This window comes from Homo sapiens, chromosome 8 (assembly GCF_000001405.40).
Source record: "Homo sapiens chromosome 8, GRCh38.p14 Primary Assembly".
Taxonomy (NCBI): domain Eukaryota; kingdom Metazoa; phylum Chordata; class Mammalia; order Primates; family Hominidae; genus Homo; species Homo sapiens.
The window spans coordinates 39329793-39350265 of record NC_000008.11 but is presented as its reverse complement, the minus strand read 5'-3'; the positions used below and the strand labels follow the sequence as shown (position 1 = coordinate 39350265).

General features: G+C 40.0%; 1 pseudogene across 1 annotated transcript in view; it reads right to left on the bottom strand.

Moving 5' to 3' along the window:
• The window catches only part of ADAM5 (ADAM metallopeptidase domain 5 (pseudogene)), a 102747-nt pseudogene that overhangs the window by 67113 nt on the left and 15161 nt on the right, over window positions 1–20473 (bottom strand). The window contains exon 8 of the transcript NR_001448.2: window positions 4222–4405. The product of NR_001448.2 is annotated as an ADAM metallopeptidase domain 5 (pseudogene) (transcript). The remainder of the gene's footprint in view (window positions 1–4221; window positions 4406–20473) is intronic.

Here is a 20473-nt window from a genome sequence, read left to right as displayed (position 1 = left end):
TCTTATTGATTGTACCTATTAATTTATTGTTTTCAGTTTCATTGATTTCTGCTCTAATTTTTATTATTTTTTTTCTTATGCTTACTTTAGTTTGTTCTTTTACTGGTTTCTTAAGGTGGAAGCTTACACTGTTGATTTTAGATATTTTTCCTTTTCTAATACATGCAACCAATGTTATAAACTTTACTCTGAGCACTGTTTTGCTGAATACCATGGCTTTTGATAACTGTGTATTTATTTTTATTCAGTTCAAACTATTTTTAAATTTCTCCTGATATTTCTTAGATAACCCATGTGTTATTTAGACATGTGATTTTTAATCTCCAAGTTTTTGGGACTTTCCAGCAATCTTTCTGTTACAAATTTCTAGTTCATTTTCACTGTGGTCTGAGGTCAGACATTTTATGGTATCTATTCCTTGAAGTTTGTTTAGTGGTATTTGTGGCTCAGAACATGGCCTGTCTTGCTGAATGTTCAATATGACTTTGAGAAAAATGTGTATTCTTTTGTTGGATGAAGTCATCCATAGATGTCCATTATATCCAGTTGGTTAAAGTTATTGTTGAGTTCCACTATGTCTTTACTGATTTTTTGTCTGCTGGATCTGCCTTTTTCTGATAAAGCAGTGTTGAAGTCTCCAGCTATAATAACAGATTCATCTATTTCTCCTTACAGTTCTATCAGTTTTTGCCTCATGTATTTTGATACTCTGTTGTTAGTCACATACACATTAAAAATTGTTATGTCTTCTTGCAGAATTGACCCCTTTGTCATTATAATTGTCCCTCATTCTGCAGACTGCTTGTCTGAAATTAATATAGCTACTCCTGGATTTTTTTTTATCACTGTTGCATAGCATATTTTTCTCCATTCTGTAATTTTTATCTACATGTATATTTATATTAAAGAGGGCTCCTTGTAGACAACTGTATTTGTCAGGGTTCTCTAGAGGGACAGAACAAATAGGATAGATGTATATATAAAGGGGAGTTTATTAAAGAGTATTGACTCACATGATCAGAAGGTGAGGTCCCACAATAGGCCATCTGCACACTGAGGAGCAAGGAAGCCAGTCTCAGTCCCAAAATCTCAAAAGTAGGGAATCCGATAGCGCAGCCTTCAGTCTGTGGTCGAAGGTCCAAGAGTACCAAAGCTGAAGAACTTGGAGTTCGATGTTCAAGGGCAGGAAGCATTCAGCATGGGGGAAAGATGTAGGCCAGAAGACTCAGCCAGTCTAGTCTTTCAATGTTCTTCTGCCTGCTTTTATTCTGGCCGTGCTGGCAGCTGATTAGATGGTGCCTACCCAGATTAAGGGTGGGTCTCTCCCAGTCCACTGCCTCTCCCAGTCCACTGACTCAAATGTTAATCTCTTTTGGCAACACCCTCACAGACACACCCAGGAACAATACTTTGCATCCTTCATTCCAGTCAATCTGACACTCAGTATTACCCACCACAACAGAGAGCTAGATCTTGGTTTTTGATCCATTCTGACAATCTCTTTTATTTTTTAAATTGGTGCACTTAAATCATTGAAAGCAAAGTGATAATGAATACAGTTAAATTAATAACTACTATATTTATTGCTGTTTTCTATTTGTGTGACTTTGGTTCTTCTTGTTTTTGTCTTTTTTTTCTTTTCCTTTTTTATTTCTTTTTAGAAAAAGGATCTCACCATGTTGCTCAGGCTGATTTGAACTTCTAGGTTCAAGGAATCCTCTCACCTCATCCTCTCAAGTAGCTGAAACTACAGGTGCACGTCACGATGCCCAGCCTGCCTTTTGTGTTTAACTGAGCATTTTACAATGCTATTTTCTATCTTTTCTTAGTGTATCAGTTATACTTTTTTAAAACATTTTTTTAGTGGTGGCCCTAGAGATGAAAATATACATTTACAACTAATCCAAGTCCACTTTCAAATAACACTATACCACTTCAGGGATAGTGTAATTCATAATAACATAATCATCCTAATTTTTCCCTTCCATTTCTTTTTGGTAGGAACTGAACACTCTGACTTATTTCAAAATGGTTCCTTTTCTCCTCCTTCTTCTGGAAGCACAGGGAATTTTTCTCTGATATTCACTGTGAGAACAAGATTAAACTTCTAGAGGTAAAGCTCATAAAAATATGATAACAACCTCAATAACTGGGTCCTCCTGGAGTTCTTAACTCTCATAGTTACATACACTGAGCCTCTGACATTTGTCAATTTTAGTTTAGGCTTTTCTACTCCAGCGCTGGCTGTGTGAAAGTTTAACTCACATGCTTCTGTTCTAGCAAGTTGTGATCCTCTGTATTCACTTGTTGGTCTATTGAATTTGGGGGCAGTGCTTCATCCTGTGATCTCACTTCTCCAACAGATCTAAAAAGAGTTGCAGCTTATTCAGTCTGTTCACCTTTTTACTAGTTGACACATTGGAGTGGCAACTTCCAAGTGTCTTAGATACCTGACCAGAAACTAAGTCTTGTCTTTTCACATATTTGAATAAAAGCCACTTGTCAATATACAAATTGTACATATTTTCTCACATTCTGGAGCTTGCCATTTTATTTTTATCAGAGTCTAAGTGAAAAAGGTTCTAAATTTGAGAAAGTACAACTTATCATTTTTCTCTTTAAACTTCTTCTTTTCGCCATAATCTAAAAAATTTTGCCTACCACCAGTCACAAAGATTTTCTCTTATGTTTTATCCCAAAAGTTTTTGAGCTTTAGCTCTAATTTTTAGGTCTTTGATTTATTTCAAGTCAATTTTTTGTGTCTGGTGAGAGGTGAAGTTTTATTTTATTTACACATATGTTTAGTTCATACAATTTTGTTGGAAAGATTTTCTTCACCCATTGAATAGCCCTTTGTCTTACCATGCAAAATGGCCATATAAATATTATTTTATAGCTGGATTCTCTGTTCTACTTTATTAATTGTATATATTTATCCTTTGGTCAATACTACCTTTTCATTATTATAACTTCATAGAAAATATTGAAATTTATAGAAAATTAGCATATGTGCTCCAATTTATTGTTTTTCTTTTCATGGCTTGGTTTATTCTAGGTCATTTCCATTTCCATATCAATCGTAGAATCAGCTTGTCAATTTCTACAAAAAGATAAGTGGATTTTGGTTGGGGCTGTGTTAAATGTATGGATCCATTTGTGTAGAGCTGAAATCTCAATATTATGTCTCCCAATCCATGAAAGTGGGAAATGTCTCCATTCATTTCAATGTTTTTTGCTTTTCCTGAGTAATGTTAATTTTTATTGCGCACAATTGCATGTTATTTTGTTATATCTATACATATCATGTTTTGGGAAACATTATATGTAGAATTGTCCCTTTGATTTCATTTTCTGTTCGCTGTTTCTACACAGAAATCCAATTCATTGTTATATGTTGACTTTTGTATTCAATGACTTGCAAGATTCATTAGTTTTATTATTTTGAAGATTGCCAGTAATCTATATTTCTAAGCCAGACTGAGTTTTACTTCTTGTTCTTTATCATTATGCGTTTATCTTGTCATAACCGCAGTGTTTCCTTCTTCTCTCTAAGCAGTCATTCTGAGTTTCTGTGCACCACTGGGTTTTTGCCACTCCCCTCCTGTACTCCAGCACTCTATGACTCACTCTGGTCAAATGTAGTTGTTTATCCATTGTTTTGGTCCTCTCTTGTGTTGGGAGACCAGCATTAGGCACCTCTAGTGCTGTCTAATGGGCCATCTTGCGGATGTCCCTTTATCATATTTTATAATTATTTTTGTTTGATCTTGGTTGTATATTTTTATATTTTTTATAATTATGATAGATTTAATTTCAAAATATTTTAATTAGAATCACCTTTCCACAGAAAATGTTTTTACCTATATTAACAAACCATGCATTTTGCTACCCCATTGGTTATAATCTACCGTTTTTAGATGTTGTTAACTGTTTTTATTTCTGCTTGTTGTTGAGGGTATATCTTTCAATCCCTTCACCACTCTTAGTGGTAATTAAATTTACGTTTGGAGCTAATACACACACTAAATAATGTCAGAAGACAATAACTGAAGACAAAAATTATCTAAGGACCATGCTTCCAAAAATAATAAAATTAGAAAACAAAGGCTCCCATCTTTTCCAAAGAATATATTTTTCAAATCTATTTTACTAATAGATAAGGCATTTATCTTCTTTACTACTAGAACATTTTTTAAATTTTAGAAAAAATATTCTACTAACGTCTTTAGTGCCACAGTCACATTCTTCACTTCCTTCCAACAACCCATTGCCACATATTCTCCTGTGTGTGTAGGTTGGCATTTCAAGAGGGTTTGTCTGAAGACATGTAAGGCCATTATGAGAAGAAATATATTTAAAGTCATCCAAGCTACAGATGTTAAAATCCTTTACACCACCAGAGTACCTAATATATAAAAATATGGGTATGACACAAATTAATGTTGTATATTTTTATATATCCCATAATATGGTGCTTTAAAGAGAGATTTAAAGAGCATTATTCTTCATAGAAGACAATTAGCAAATCTTAAAATATACTTATTATATTAACATGTTTTAACATGTTTTTAACTCCAAGAATAATATATATTTATAATAAAATAAATATATGTGTGTGTATATATATATGTATATATATATACACACACACACACACACACACACACACACATTCCAAAATTCTTTTTAGTCATACATCTTGTTTTATACAAGATCTGGTATAGATACACGGACCTCTAAAAGTTCATGAAAAAATAAAATGAAAATATGAAAATAAATATATAAACTTTATTTCTCAACATCAAGTTCAAGACAGTTTTGTAAGCAATGATATCAACTGTTTAGTCCGGACCTAAATAACTGAGGATCCTGGAAATTTTACTAGGTCAATGAAGTCTTTTTTACATTATTAACTGAAGAAAAATGAGTGCCCTTTAAAGAGTTTTTAAGATTAGGAAACAAAAAGAAGACAGAAGGAGCCAAATCAAGACTATAAGATGGATGCCTAATAATTTTCCATCAAAACTCTCACAAAATTGCTCTTATTGTTGAGAAGAATGAGCAGGAGCATTGTTATAATGAAGGACTCTCGGGTGAAACTTTCATAGGCATTTTTCTGCGAAAGCTTTGGCTAAGTTTCTCAAAATAGTCTCCTAATTGGCAGGTTTTTTGGCCCTCTAGAAAGTCAACAAGCAAAGTATCTTGAGTATCTCAAAAAGCTTTTGCCATGACATTTGCTCTTGACTGGTTCACTTTGGCTTTGGCTGGACCACGTCCACCACTTGGTAGCCATTGCTTTGACTGTGTTTTATCTTCAGGATTGTGCTGGTAAAGCTGTTCCACCTCCTGTTACAATTCTTCAATGAAATGTTTCAGAATCTTAATTTTTATTTGTACACAATTGTACATACTTCATGAATGTTATATCTATATACTTCCTGTTTTGAAAAACATTATACATGGAATTGTACCTTTTATCTCATTTTCTATTTGTTGCCAAATATACAGAAATCCAATTCATTGTTATATTAATACACTGATTGTGTATCCAATGACTTGCAAAATTCACTAGTTTTATTTGATTTTTTTTTCAAAATTGCTTCAAAAAATTTCCATCAAAGTTCTGTTCTTATCTGATCTCCATCAAAGTTCTGCTCTTATCTGCTCTTATCTATCTCTGGACACAATGACTTTGGCACCCACTGAGTGGAAAATTTGCTCACCTTTAATTTTTCAGCCAGAATTGTGTTAGCTGAACCAATTGAAATGTCTGTGGTGTTGACTATTGTTCATGCTGTTGTCAGTCCTGTTCAATGACAGCACAAACAAGATGAATTTTTTTTCCTTGCAAACTGATGTTGCTTGCCTGCTACAGCAAGCTCCATCACCAATACCGTCTCATCCTTTCTTAAAAGGAGTTTTGGCCAATCGCAGTGGCTCACACCTGTAAACCCAGCACTTTGGGAAGCCAAGGTAGGCGGATAACCTGAGGTCAAGAGTTCAAGACCAGCCTGGCCAACATGGCAAAACCCTGTCTCTACTAAAAATACAAAAATTAGCCAGGCGTGGTGGCACGCACCTTGCAGTCCCAGCTACTTGGGAGGCTGAGGCAGATGAATCGCTTGAACCCAGAAGGCAGAGGTTGTGGTGAGCCAAGATCATGCCACTGCACTCCAGTCTGGGCAACAGATCGAGACTCCGTCTTAAAAAAAAAAAACAACTATGATATTGAAAATGCAATATCCCAGCAGGACTCTTGCAGAAATTACAAAGCTGATAATAAAATATAGATGAATATGTAAAGGACCTAGAATAGCCAAAACAATTTGGGAAAATATTTAAAAACTCATGGCACTTGCACTACCTGATTTCAAACTCAGTGTAAAGCTACAGTAATAGAGACAGTGTGCTTTCCTATAAGGATAGACATACAGGTTAATGAATTAGAATAGATATTCCAATAATAAATCCACACATTCATGGTAAATTGATTTTTGACAAAATTGCCAAGACAATTAAGTGGGTAAAAGGCTAGTCTTTTCAACAAATAGTATTAGAATAACTGTCACTCTATATGACAAAATAAAAATGAACTTGGACACATGTACAATAATTGCAAAATGTATCATAAACTAACTATAAGAGCTATAAACGCATGTTGCATAAAAATTGATAAATTGGACTTTTGAATCAAAATTTTAAAACCTGTCTTCCAGAGAAGACAACTATAAAGAAAAAAGACAAGCCACAGACTACAAAGAAACAATTGAAAATCATGTATCTGGTAAAGAAACCATAGCCAGAATATACAAACAAATCTTGTAATTCATCAACAGCACAAAAACCTATATTTTTATTTTACAAAGTGGAAAAAAGATCTAAATAGGCACATTACCAAATAAGCTATGCAAAGGATATGAAGTATGAAAATATGTTCAAATCATTAGCTTCTAGGGAAGTACATATACAACCTATATGAGATAATACTACATACCAACTAAAGAGACGTAAATTGAACATACTGAGCATATCAAGTCTTGGCATTGATGCAGAAAAACTAGGACTAACAGCTTAGTTTTCAGGAATGGAAATATGGGGCCCCTTATGTATAAAGCAGGGAAAATTACTGTTAATGGTATTAAAACAAAAAGCTTTTTCTTTTTTCAGCAGTCTCTCAGGAGTCATGGTGTTATTTGTTTGCTAGTCAGTGTTGTCCTAAATTAAAATTCTAAGTTATTAGCATGAATTTTACCATTTATCTTTATATTGTACAATGCCAGTTTTAAATGCAGGTATCAAAGCATTTTAACTCTTAAAAATTTTATTTTCAGTTGATGATAATTATATATATTTATGAGGCACAATGTGATGTTTCGATACATGTATATATTGCAATATATGTATAAATCACGCTAATTAGCATATCCCTCACCTCACGTATTTATTATTTCTTTGTGATGAGAATGTTTAAAATGTGCTCTTTGGCAATATTGAAATATACAACATGTTATTATTAACTATAGTCACTGCACTGTGCAATTTACTCTAAAATTATTTCTTTTTTCTAACCAAACTTTTGTACGTTTTTACCAGTATCTTTCCATTCCCCATTCCCCACTCCCCACCCCCAGCCTCTGGTAACCACCATTCTACTCTCTACTTTGATGAGTTTGACTTTTTTAGATTCTACCTATAAGTAAAATCAGGCAGAATTTGTTTTCTGTGCCTGGATTATATTTCACTCAGCATAATCTTCTCCAGATTCATCCATGTTGTCATAAATGACAAAATGTATTTGTTTTTTAAGGCTGAATTATGTATAATATCACCCCCATATTTGAATGTGTCCCCTAATGTTCATGTGTTAGAAACTTAATACCCAATGCAACAGTGTTTAGAGGTGGGACCTTTACGAGGTGATTAAATCATGAGGGCTCTGTCCTTATGAATGTACTAATGTCATTATCACAAGAACAAGTTCATTTTCAGAACAGTGGGTTTGTCATAAAAGTGAGTTTGATCCCCTCTCCAGTACGTGTGTCTGCTTTCTTGCCCTTATGCCTTTTGTCATGGGATAACACAGCAAGGAACTCTCACAAGATGTGGGCCTCTCAACCTTGAATTTATCAGGATCCAGAACCCTAAGGCAAATAAACCTCTCTTCTTTATAATTACCCAGTCGTGGGCATTCTGTTTTAACAGTACAAATCAGAATAAGAAAAAAAAATGGTACCAGTAGTGGAGCTATTGCTATAACAAATTTCTAAAAATGTAAAAGCAGCTTTGGAACTGAATAATGGGTAGGGGCTACAAGAGTTTGGAGAAGCAGAAAAGTCCTAGATTGTCATAAATGGAGCATTAAGGGAGATTGTGGTGAGGGCTCAAAAGAAGTGAAGAAGTGTAGAGAAAGTCTGGAACTTCTTAAATATTACTTAAGTGGTTGTGATCATAAAACCAATAAAAATATGGACTTAATGTTCATTCTGATGAGGCCTCAGGTGGAAATGAGAAACAAGGTACTGGAAACAGAAGTAAAGGCCATCCTTGCTACACAGTTGCAAAGAATTTAGTGGAATTGTTTTGGCGTCCTAGGACCATGTGGAAGACATCCTGTGCTCCACAGGTTCACTGTTCAGGGCTGCCTTGGGACTCTGCAATCTGGCACAGTGCTTCTCAGCTTCCCCATCCATGACTCAATTTAAGAGTGATGAACTAGGATATCTGGCAGAAGAAATATCTAAGTGGCAAAGTGTTCAAGGTGCTGCCTGGCTTCTTTTGGCTGCTTATAGTAAAATGAGAATGGAAATGATTTAAATATGGAATTTATCATTAAAAGAAGCAGAACAGACAGATTTGAAAACTTTCAGGATGGCTATGTAAGAAATAAAAAAGCATGTTTAAAAAGGCAACTGTGACCAGGCATGGTGGCTCACACCTGTAATCCCAGAACTTTAGGAGGCTGAGGCAGGAGGATTACTTGAGGTCAGGAGTTCGAGACCAGCCTGGCCAATATGGTGAAACCCCTTCTCTACTAAAAATACAAAAATTAGCCAGTCATGGTAGCACGTGCCTATAATTCCAGCTACTCTGGAGGCTGAGGCAGGAGAATTGCTTGAACCCAGGAGGCGAAAGTTGCAGTGAGCTGAGCTCGCACCACTGCACTCCAGCCTGGGTGACAGAGTGAGACTCCGTCTCAAAAAAAAAAAAAAAAAAGCAACTGTTTGCTAAAGAGATTAATATGGATACAATAAAGCCAGGTTCTATCCTGCTTAACTAGGAAGACAACAAGAGAATGACCCTGAAGGCATTTCTGAGATCTCTGAGGATGCCTCTCCCATCATCCCATCACAGGCTCAGAGCTCTAAAAGGGCTGAATGGTTTCAGAGAACAGGCCTGGGGTGTGCTCCACAGGTTCACTGCCCAGGGCTGCCCTGGGACTCTGCATTCTGACACAGTGCTTCTCAGCTTCCCCATCCATTACTCAAGTGGGCCCAGGTGTGGCTCAGCCACCTCTCCAAAGGGCACAAGTGGTAAGCCTTGACAATGTCCACATGATGCTAACTCTGCAAACCTGCAGAACACAACAGTTGCCAGACCATGGTGACCTCCACCTAGATCTTTTCAAATAATGTCATCAACGACCTGGGAGCCCAAGCAGAGACTTGTCACAGGGATAGAGCCACTGCAGAGAGCTCCCACTAGAGCAAAACCTATCAAGGCCATAAGAGTGAGACCATCACAGAGAGCTCCCACTAGGGAAATGCCTAGTGAAGCCATGGGAGTGGGGCAGTCCCTGAGGCCCCAGAACTTTAAAGCCACCAGCTTGCAACCTCAGTCTGGGAGAGATACAGGCATGAGACTCCAACATGTGAAAGCTACTGGGTGGACTAAGACCAGAAAGAAGCAAGAATCCTGATGTTTTACAGACTCAACCTCCACCCAAGTATGCCCAGGATGGAGGACATGGAGTCAAAGGAGGTTATTCTCCAGGTTTAAGCCAATACTGTTTTTCCACGTTGGGTTTTGGAGTTATGTGAGACCAGTTACCCCTTCCTTCTTGCCTATTTCTCCCTTTTGGAATGGGAATGTCTATCCTGTGCCTGTTCCTCCATTGTATTTTGGAAGCACCAAAAAACAATGCAACTTGTTAATTGCACAGGCTTACAGCTGGAGAGGAATTTGCCTCAGGATAAACCATGCCTAGAGTCTTACCCTCATCTGACTTAGATTAGAATTTGAACTTCAGATTTTTTAGTTGATGCTAGAAGTTAATACTTTGGGGGCTACTTGGGTGAAATGAATGTATTTTGAATTGTGAGAAAGACCAAAGATGGTCTCCAGCTCCTAACCGGGAGTGATCTGCCAGCCTCGGCCTCCCGAGGTGCTGGGATTGCAGACGGGGTCTCGCTCACTCAGTGCTCAATGGTGCCCAGGCTGGAGTGCAGTGGCGTGATCTCCGCTCGCTACAACCTCCACCTCCCAGCCGCCTGCCTTGGCCTCCGAAAGTGCCGAGATTGCAGCCTCTGCCCGGCCGCCACCCCGTCTGGGAAGTGAGGAGCGTCTCTGCCTGGCCGCCCATAGTCTGGGATGTGAGGAGCCCCTCTGCCCTGCTGCCCAGTCTGGGAAATGAGGAGCGCCTCTTCCCCGCCGCCATCCCGTCTGGGAAGTGAGGAGAGTCTCTGCCTGGCCAACCATCGTCTGGGATGTGAGGAGCCCCTCTGCCCAGCCGCCCAGTCTGGGAAGTGAGGAGCGCCTCTTCCCGGCTACCACCCCGTCTGGGAAGTGAGGAGTGTCTCTGCCTGGCCGCCCATCGTCTGAGATGTGGGGAGCGCCTCTACCCTGCCGCCCCGTCTGGGATGTGAGGAGCGCCTCTGCCCGGCGGCAACCCCGTCTGGGAACTGAGGAGTGTCTCTGCCCAACCGCCACCCTGTCTGGGAGGTGAGGAGCATCTCCGCCCGGCCACCCCGTCTGAGAAGTGAGGAGCCCCTCCGCCCGGCAGCCGCCCCATCTGGGAAGTGAGGAGCCCCTCCGCCCAGCAGCCGCCCCATCCGGGAGATGGGGGGCAGCCCCCGCCCAGCCAGCCGCCCCATCCGGGAGGGAGGTGGGGGGCAGACCCCGCCCAGCCAGCTGCCCCGTCCGGGAGGGAGGTGGGGGGCAGCCCCCGCCCGGCCAGCCGCCCCGTCTGGGAGGGAGGTGGTGGGCAGCCCCCACCCAGCAGCTGCCCCGTCCGGGAGGTGGGGGGCGCCTCTGCCTGGCTGCCCTGTCTGGGAAGTGAGGAGCCCCTCTGCCCGGCCGACACCCCGTCTGGGAGGTGTACCCAACAGCTCATTCAGAACGGGCCATGATGACAATGGCGGTTTTGTCGAATAGAAAAAGGGGGAAATGTGGGGAAAAGAAAGAGAAATCAGATTGTTATGGTGTCTGTGTAGAAAGAAGTAGACATGGGAGACTCCATTTTGTTCTGTACTTAGAAAAATTCTTCTGCCTTGAGATGCTGTTAATCTATAACCTTACCCCCAACCCCGTGCTCTCTGAAACATGTGCTGTGTCAACTCAGGGTTAAATGGATTAAGGGCGGTGCAAGATGTGCTTTGTTAAACAGATGCTTGAAGGCAGCATGCTCGTTAAGAGTCATCTCCACTCCCTAATCTCCAGTACCCAGGGACGCAAACACTGCGGAAGGCGGCAGGGTCTTCTGCCTAGGAAAACCAGAGACCCTTGTTCACATGTTTATCTGCCGACCTTTCCTCCACTATTGTCCTGTGACCCTGCCAAATCCCCCTCTCCGAGAAACACCCAAGAATGATCAATAAATACTTTAAAAAAAATTAAAAATTAAAAAAATAAATAAATAAAATAAAATAGTTTTTAAAAACTTACACTGTTAACAAGGCCAATTATCTGAATAACCTTCTGCGTTACAGTGTTTATATCAGAGCCCATGTAATCAAACTGAAAAAGATAAATTATTTTTAAAAACTAGTGGATATAATTAATATTTCACATCTCTTTCATTTTACAATATGCTATATTCTAAAGTAGCCATAGGAATCCACTCCAATTGAAATCCAGGAAATCAGTGATAATATGCAAATAATGATTTAATAAAAATATATAACAACATGATTTTAGGCAATGTTTAATGCACTCAATTTGTAGTACTATTTCTTTTTTATGAAAATTGAATACTGAATTTCTAAAATGGATATCATTATAAATGTAATCCTACACTGAAAAACAGTATGTGGAGAAAGTGGGAAAATCCTCAATGAGTGGATTACCATTAAAATGATACCGTATACTGTGTTAGAAACATCCTTTTTCACAACATATTATAATACATGTTCTAATTTCTTCTTTTTCCAGTAAGCCCGGTGCAGTGGCTCACGCCTGTAATCCCAGCACTTTGGGAGGCCGAGGCAGGTGCATCACGAGGTCAGGAGATCAAGACCATCCTGGCTAACACGGTGAAACCCTGTCTCTACTAAAAATACAAAAAAAAAATTGGCTGGACATGGTGGCAGGCGCCTGTAGTCCCAGCTACTTGGGAGGCTGAGGCAGGAGAATGGCATGAACCTGGGAGGCAGAGCTTGCAGTGAGCCGAGATCATGTCACTGCACTCCAGCCTGGGCAACGGAGCAAGACTCTGTCAAAAAAAAATCCTGCACATTGAAAGATACAATCAACAAAGTGAAGAGACAACCCATTGAATGGGAGAAAATATTTGCAAACTGCCCATCTGACAAGGGATTAATAACCACAATATATAAGAGGCTCATCACATGACAAATGCTGAAGAGAATGCAGAGAAAAGGAAACCCTTGTACACTGCTAGTGGGGATGTACTAGTGGGGATGTACCACTGAGGAGAATAGTTTGCACTTTCCTCAAAAACACTCAAAATTGAGCTACCATATGATCCAGCAATCTCACTGCTGGGTATATACCCAAAAGCAAGGAAATCAGTGCATCCCTATGTTTCTTGGAGCACTGTTTGCAATAACTAAGATTTAGAAGGGTCCATCAAGAGATAAATGCATAAGAAAATGTGGTGCATATACACAATGGAGTACTACTCAGCCATAAAAAAAGTATGAGATCCAGTCATTTGGAGCAACATGGATGCTGGAGATTATTGTGTTAAGTTAAATAAGCCAAGAACAGAAAGACAAACATCGCATGTTCTCACTTATTTGTGGGATTGAAAAATCAAGACAATTGAACTAATGGTCACAGAGAGTAGAAGGATGGTAACCAGAGGCTGGGAAGGGTAGTGGGGGTTTTGACAGGAGGATGAACATTCTGTTTCTTTGGCTAGTGGAACAGCAGCAAAGGTGACACATGCAAAGATGTTAAAGTGTTTGAGCACTGGATTTCTCTCTCTTGACACTGTGGGATCCCTGCAACACTTGTTATGTGAAGAAGCCTGGCCTACCCGCCTAGAAGACACAAAACACAAAGCCCAGTGACCCTATCTAATATTTAGCCAACTTCCAGAATCAAAGACACCTTTTTGACTAGAAGCTGATTTCAGAAGCATTAATGAGCCCAGCTGAGACAAGCAGAACTTCCCAGCCAAGCCACATACAGACCAAAAGAAATATCTAGCAAAATTATTAGCTAAATAAATGGCTTTTGCATTAAGCCACTTTTTTGTGGTGGTTCTTTACAGAGTATTAGAGTATTTAAAATTGGTGCTTGTAAGTAAGGTGCTATGATAACAAGCACCACAAATATGTGTGACTACTCTCAGTCTAAGAAAGCAACCCAGGGTTCCAGATGCATCAGGGGAGCTCTTCTCTAGCAAAGGCTAGAGAAATGGTGAGCTGCTTGTTATCAGAAGCTAAGAGAGCAATGAGGAAATGACTATTATCCTGAAAAAAGTAGTGACCTATTAAACGTAGTAACAAAACAATTGGAAAACTCAAAAAAGTTTTGCCAATTAAATAATCAGGATTTATTTTTCATGATAAAGTTTTGTGTTGGGAGAGGTGTACACTAATCTAGGAATTATAAATTGATAAATACTTTTTAAGGACATGATGATATATATTTGATGCTTTTTAAAAAGTTAAACTTTCAAGAATGTACTTCCCCAAAAAAATCACAAATGTCAAAAGAAATATATGTAACAAGGATATATATGGCAGAATTACTTTTAATAATAAAAAGTAATAATGACATAAAGATCTATGATTATCAATAAGTGGTGGAGTTAATGTGAATTTTGATTCTCTCCTAAAAATATTTTTTCAAATTTTTCTGGATGTTCTACAGTGAATATATATTGCTTTCATTATTTAAATGATGATGTATCCTTCCTAAGAAAGATATCGGAAGCCGGGTGCAGTGGCTCACGCCTATAATCCCAGCACTTTGAGAGGACAAGACGGGCGGATCACGAGGTCAGGAGATGGAGACCATCCTGGCTAACACAGTGAAACTCCGTCTCTACTAAAACTACAAAAAATTAGTCGGGTGTGGTGGCGGGTGCCTGTAGTCCCAGCTACTTGGGAGGCTGAGGCAGGAGAATGGCCTGAACCCGGGAGGCGGAGCTTGCAGTGAGCCGAGGTTGCGCCACTTCACTCCAGCCTGGGTGACAGAGCAAGACTCCGTCTCAAAAAAGAAAAAAAGAAAGAAAGATATTGGAGTGCTTTCACAGTGCCATATCAACTAGGGGCTGGTGTGGGAGAGGTCTTCCCCAGTGATTTATTTCATCACTGATATTACTAAGAATTGTCAGTACAGGATAATAATAAAAAGAAAACCAGCTTTTAGTAGGGCTTTTTATTGTTTTTAGGCCATTGCCTGCTCAGTCCCGACAGCATTCCCCCTTCTTGAAACTTCACTATAGCTGCTGACACTCCTGGAAAGAAAGAAAGAAAGTAGAGGCAACATCTCAACTTAAGCATGGAGTATGTAAAAATTGCTTGTAGCCAGGCACGGTGGCTCACACCTGTAATCCCAGCACTTTGGGAGGCCAAGGCAGGTGGATCACCTGAGGCCAGGAGTCGAGACCAGCCTGGCCAATGTGGTGAGACACTGTCTCTACTAAAAATACAAAAATTAGCCGGGTGCGGTGGTGAGCACCTGTAATCCCAGATACTTGGGAGGCTGAGGCAGGAGAATCATTTGAACCCGAGAAGCGGAGGCTGCAGTGAGCAGAGATCGTGCCACTGCACTGCAGCCTGGGCAACAGAGCGAGACTCCATCTCAAAAAAAAAAAAAAGAAAAATCGTTTGAAACTGATACTTGATATGATTTCTACAATAAAATACAGAATCACTTCATGACTACAGACACTGAAGCATTTTTTTCCCCAGCTAACCCAGGTGATCCTACACTAGGTGTAGCGTGGCATCATTTTCACTTTGAAGGCATTTCTTTTATGCACGTGTGTGGGATACCCATGGGAGCCTCTTTTCTCATTATTATACGGGAACATCACAAGCGGGAGTGTTGTTGGCTGACTGAGAGGTACAACTCAGTGCTTCTCTCCCAGAGAAGCCATGAATGAAATACCATATAATATGAATGGAGATCAAGCTGGCCAACGCTTAAGGAAAATAGAAAAGAACCTACGTGAATATCGGGGCAGGTTCCCTGATACCCTTAGGCACCTAATCAATTCATTATGAAGCACTGGATTTTTAAAAAATGTTTTTGAGAGGGAGTCTCGCTCTGTCACCCAGGCTGGAGTGCAGTGGCACGATCTCGGCTCACTGCAACCTCTGCCTCCTGGGTTCAAGCAATTCTTCTGCCTCAGCCTCCCGAGTCGCTGGGACTACAGGTGTCACCACCACGCCCAGCTAATTTTTTATTTTATTTTTAGTAGATACCGGGTTTCACCATGTTGGCCAGGCTGGTCTCAAGCTCCTGGCATCAAGCAATCTGCCCGCCTCAGCCTCCCAAAGTGCTGATTACAGGCATGAGCCACTGCGCCCAGCCCTAAAGCACTGGATTTTGAAATAAAAATAATTTATGAAATTTGAGTAAAGTATAAAAATTAGAAATTCATGTCTCTCCAGGGTCACCCTAGACCACAGATCCTACTGAGGAACCGGCCTGATTTCATCAACACAGAAAAGGCCTTATTTTTTACCCTGAGCCAGCAAAATTACTGCAATGCGTGAGTGGCTCTGAAGCTTCCGGTGTTTAGGAAAAGAAAGTAGACTTGAAGGAAATAGCAAACGTGGATGACTCTGCAGCTTAAGGCAAAAGGAATAGATGATTAGATGACATTTTATTCACTTTAAACACCCACTTTGTAAAGGGTCCTTTTAAAGGTCATATTTAGGGTTTGGGCTGTACTTGGAAGATAGAGGAAGGAGGCTTCACTTGGACAGCAGTGTGGGGTACAAAGCATCTGACATAGGCTTGTAGCTTTGGAAAAACAATATGTTGGGGTATATGTAGCTCTTTACTCTGTATGTTTATTCCAGTGGGCTTGGCATTTAGTTATCTTTTAAGGAAGGCGTAAGTAGAGGAAACATTTGTAATGCGAAATTACCCAAAATTCTACCAAAAGCAATCCATAGCAGTTGGCATTGCTTTTACTCATGAGAGCTTAAAAATATCTCCCCGTGTTTATTGTGGCAGCGGGTCAAGAGTGAGAGCAGAACGTAAATCTCATTCAGAAATCCGGCCCACATTTTTACTCCCCTTACAAATTCTTTACAATCACAGAAAACAGTTGCCCTATATCAGCTGCCCATGCTAAATGCAGGTGATATTTACCTGTTATATCAGTTTAATGTACAGCCCATCTCATATTCATTAAGTTGATTTGAAAAATGATCAGAAGAATCAGGACTGGGTCCTCCAAGAATATAAAAGCCTCTGAGGCTTTATCCATTTAAGGAAAACCAGGTCTTTCACCTGTGCTCTCGCTTCACCCCAGCATTTTCTTCTACGGCAGAAGCAATGCATTTAGTCATCTCGGAATACTGGTTTAACGCACTAACAGTTGCAGGTGCTTTTCCTGGAATTTTGTCTCTGCAAGAGTTCTATGGTGAGTGTGTTAAAGGCAGCAAGCAAGGGTCACGTAAAGTGAATATTTTATGAGGCCAGGATACATGGCAGTGTAAGCAGAAGCACCCAAGATAATCAAAATAGCTGAAGAATATGATCCACATAGACTTTCAAAGGCATATGCAGTGAAGTGGTGGGACAGTGGGCTGGGAGAAGGGAAGGGGAGAGTGGAAAAGCATTAAAACTATAGGAAATCAGAGAAAATGCTGGCCTTCTGTTCCTTAGCTTCTAGAATTAGGGAGTTGTTATATAATCCAAGCCAGCAGCTGAAGACTATCTGGCTAATACTTTACTTAATTATTCTGGAATGTGCTTTTTTTCTATAAATCAGCCTAAGTCAAAAGAAAGAGGAACTCTCATCTCTGAATCAAATGGCAGGAGGGGCCAGCTGGGAGGGCTCATTCCCCCTGGATCCTATACATATTACTCAGCTCTGTGGCTGTACTGCAGTGCAGGTCAAATGAATTGGTCCCATTAGCGAGCTGGTTATATAGGAGTTAAGAAGAAATTACTTAGGCAGACACTGAGGGTACGGGAGTCCTCAGTAAGGTTTTCCTTTTAATGAAAAGCAACTCCAAAATCATTTTCTTTTCTAACAAACATCAGCCTGTAAAATCAAGCTGCAGACATAGACAAGCAAGCTAGAAGCTTGCACAGGCGAATGCCGGCAGTTGTGCCAATAGGAAAAGGCCTCCTGGGAATAGGCATGTTCAAAATGGCAGCTCCATCTTCTCTTTGCCAGCCACACGTACAGTAAGGAGCAGACAAGATGGCGCTGGCCAAGTAGAAAGTCCATTTGCATAATAAGATTAGGGCAGGGCAACCAGCCTTCCCTGGGCACCATGTAAACATTACACCTGATCAAACCAAACTGTGGGGCCTACGGAAATCCAACACTGCCTCCTCCATCCTGCCTATAAGATCTGGAGCAGTCCGCCGCCGGCCGACTTTTCCCTTTTGGACATCTCTCTCTCATAACAAAGAGCAAGCTGCTCTCCTCTCTCCTTTCTTCTGCCTATTTAACTTCCTGCTCCTTAACCCATTCCATGTGTGTGTGTCCATGTCATTAATCTCAGAACGAGACGACAAACCTCGGGTATTTCCCCAGGCAAGGATGCTGCTTCAATAGGACAGCTCCTTTAGACGAAGGAGACTCTGTAATTTGAATGTCAATGTGAGGAAAAGGGAATGCACATAGAAAAGCAGAAAAGTTGACAGTGCCACTTGTGACAGGATTTTACTGTCATTGTGAAAATTATATGAAATGATTAAGTACAGTAAGGCTCAATGTTTCAGCATAATCTATCACAATAATAAGACTTCTATCAGCTTCTAAGTGATGTAGTTCTTTGCAGTCTGCTGGTTTGTCTGCAGCTTGGTGGTCACAGAAGCAGTGCTCTGTGCCAGCTGGATGAGGCTCATGCACCCTGCGACTGATGCACCTGGCTGAGTCTCATTTGCTCTGATTAGTCACTTTTGCCTTCATTTGCTGGAACTAAAATCCTGAGAGTTTACTTGCAAAGGGTGGTGTCTGGTTACATAATTAAGTTATTTAGTGGTGATTTCTGAGATTTAGGTTCACCCATCACCTGAGCAGTGTACTCTGTACCCAATGTGTAGTCTTCGAAAAAAAATTTTAAATGTACCTAATCAATTTGTGAACTTTGGCAAAATAATTTAAAATCAGAGTGTTAAGTGTGTCAATTAGCTTATATTTGCTGTTTTTGATAAAGTAAAAGAAGAAAGAGTTATGCTAAAGGAACAAACTGTTCCGATTGTAAGGAGAATCCTTATCTCCAGCCATTCACACTCAAAGTAAGAAACTATCTCACATCAAGGGTGTAACTATAGTACATTTTGTTGAGGCCTTTGAGAGATTTAAGATTGTACTTAGTAGACACCCTTTAGTTATACAAAACAGTTTCTAATATTAAGGGAGTTGTCACTCAGAAGCTTGGCAAGCCTCCCAGAGTAAAGGTGCCTATTTTTTAAGGAATTTGTGAATGTGGCTTTTGATGAATGGACTAAACTATAACTGGATACACAGAAAAGCCAACATAAAATTAGAAACTATTGTGCATCAGTGGACACAATCAACTGAGTAAAATGGCAACACACAGAATGGAAGAAAGTATTTGCAAATCATATATCAGATAAGGAATTAATATCCAGAATACATAAAGAAATCCCCAGTCTCTATAACAACAATAGCAACAAAAACAACAGTGCAGTTAAAAGATGGGCAAAGGACTTGAACAGACATTTCTCCAAAGAAGACCTACAGATGAGAAATAAGCACAGGAGAAGACACTCAACATCACTAATCATTAAGGAAATGAAAATCAAACCTACAAGATGATACCACTTCACACCCATTACAATTACTATTATTAATAAAACAAACTGAATATAACAATTGTTGGTGAGAACGGGAAGAAACTGAAGTCCTTGTGCATTACTAATGGGAATGGAACATGGTGCAGCTGCTGTGGAAAACAGTATGACAGCTCTTCAAAAAGTTAAACATAGAATTACCATACGAGCTAACCTTCTACTTTTGGGTATATACCTACAAAAATTGAAAGTGCAGACTCATAAAAATATTTGTACACCAACGTTCATGGCAATAATACAGGAGTTATTAAGAAACAGTTTTTAGGCCACTAGAAAGGGTAAAGGTTCTTGGTGCAAATTTTCCTGTAATAAGAAACATTTCTTACTTAACAGAAAACGCAACAGGAAGGGCCAGGCCAGCAAGCTTTGATATGCAAATGCTGATGATTAAAATCTGGGTCCACTTAACATGGCGAGTCCCACCTTTTCCTTCTTGTTACCAGATGTGCCAAGTATTATGGCCACCTTTAGATAACACCATGTGATAAAACAGTGTGGTGACCCACATTTGCATATTAAAGGACTAAGGTAGGAGGGCCAGGTTTCTCATGGGCTATGTGGATGATACACCTGGTTAAACCAATCCCCTGGGCCCTACGTAAATTAGATACTGCCTCCTTTAGCTTCCCAATATAAGCAACTACTTCTTTGCTGCACCCGGGGTTCCTCTTTGTTCCGAGCCCCCCATTCCTTCATTTATCAGAGCTGTATCATTTTGGTTCATGGGCCGAGAATTCATTCATCGGAGTGGTGAGTATTAGGAGCGAACTTCCACCTTAAATCTGTCCTTTAATTTCAAGGCTCTCCTCCAGCTATCCTGTCGCCAAACTTTTCTTCTCTATCTGTAGTCTCTTACTCTCTGTGTGTGTGTCGAATGTGTGGGAACTTTTATGGGCTAGCGAAATAATCCTGTTAGGCAAGATCAGGAAATGCTGTAGACTGGGGATATAGCTCAGGAAAAATGCCATTGCAACCTTCTAGGAAGAGAGTTCTCGCCTTTCACCCACAGTGAGGTCACTCACTGCTAATGAGCACATGGTATTTCTAA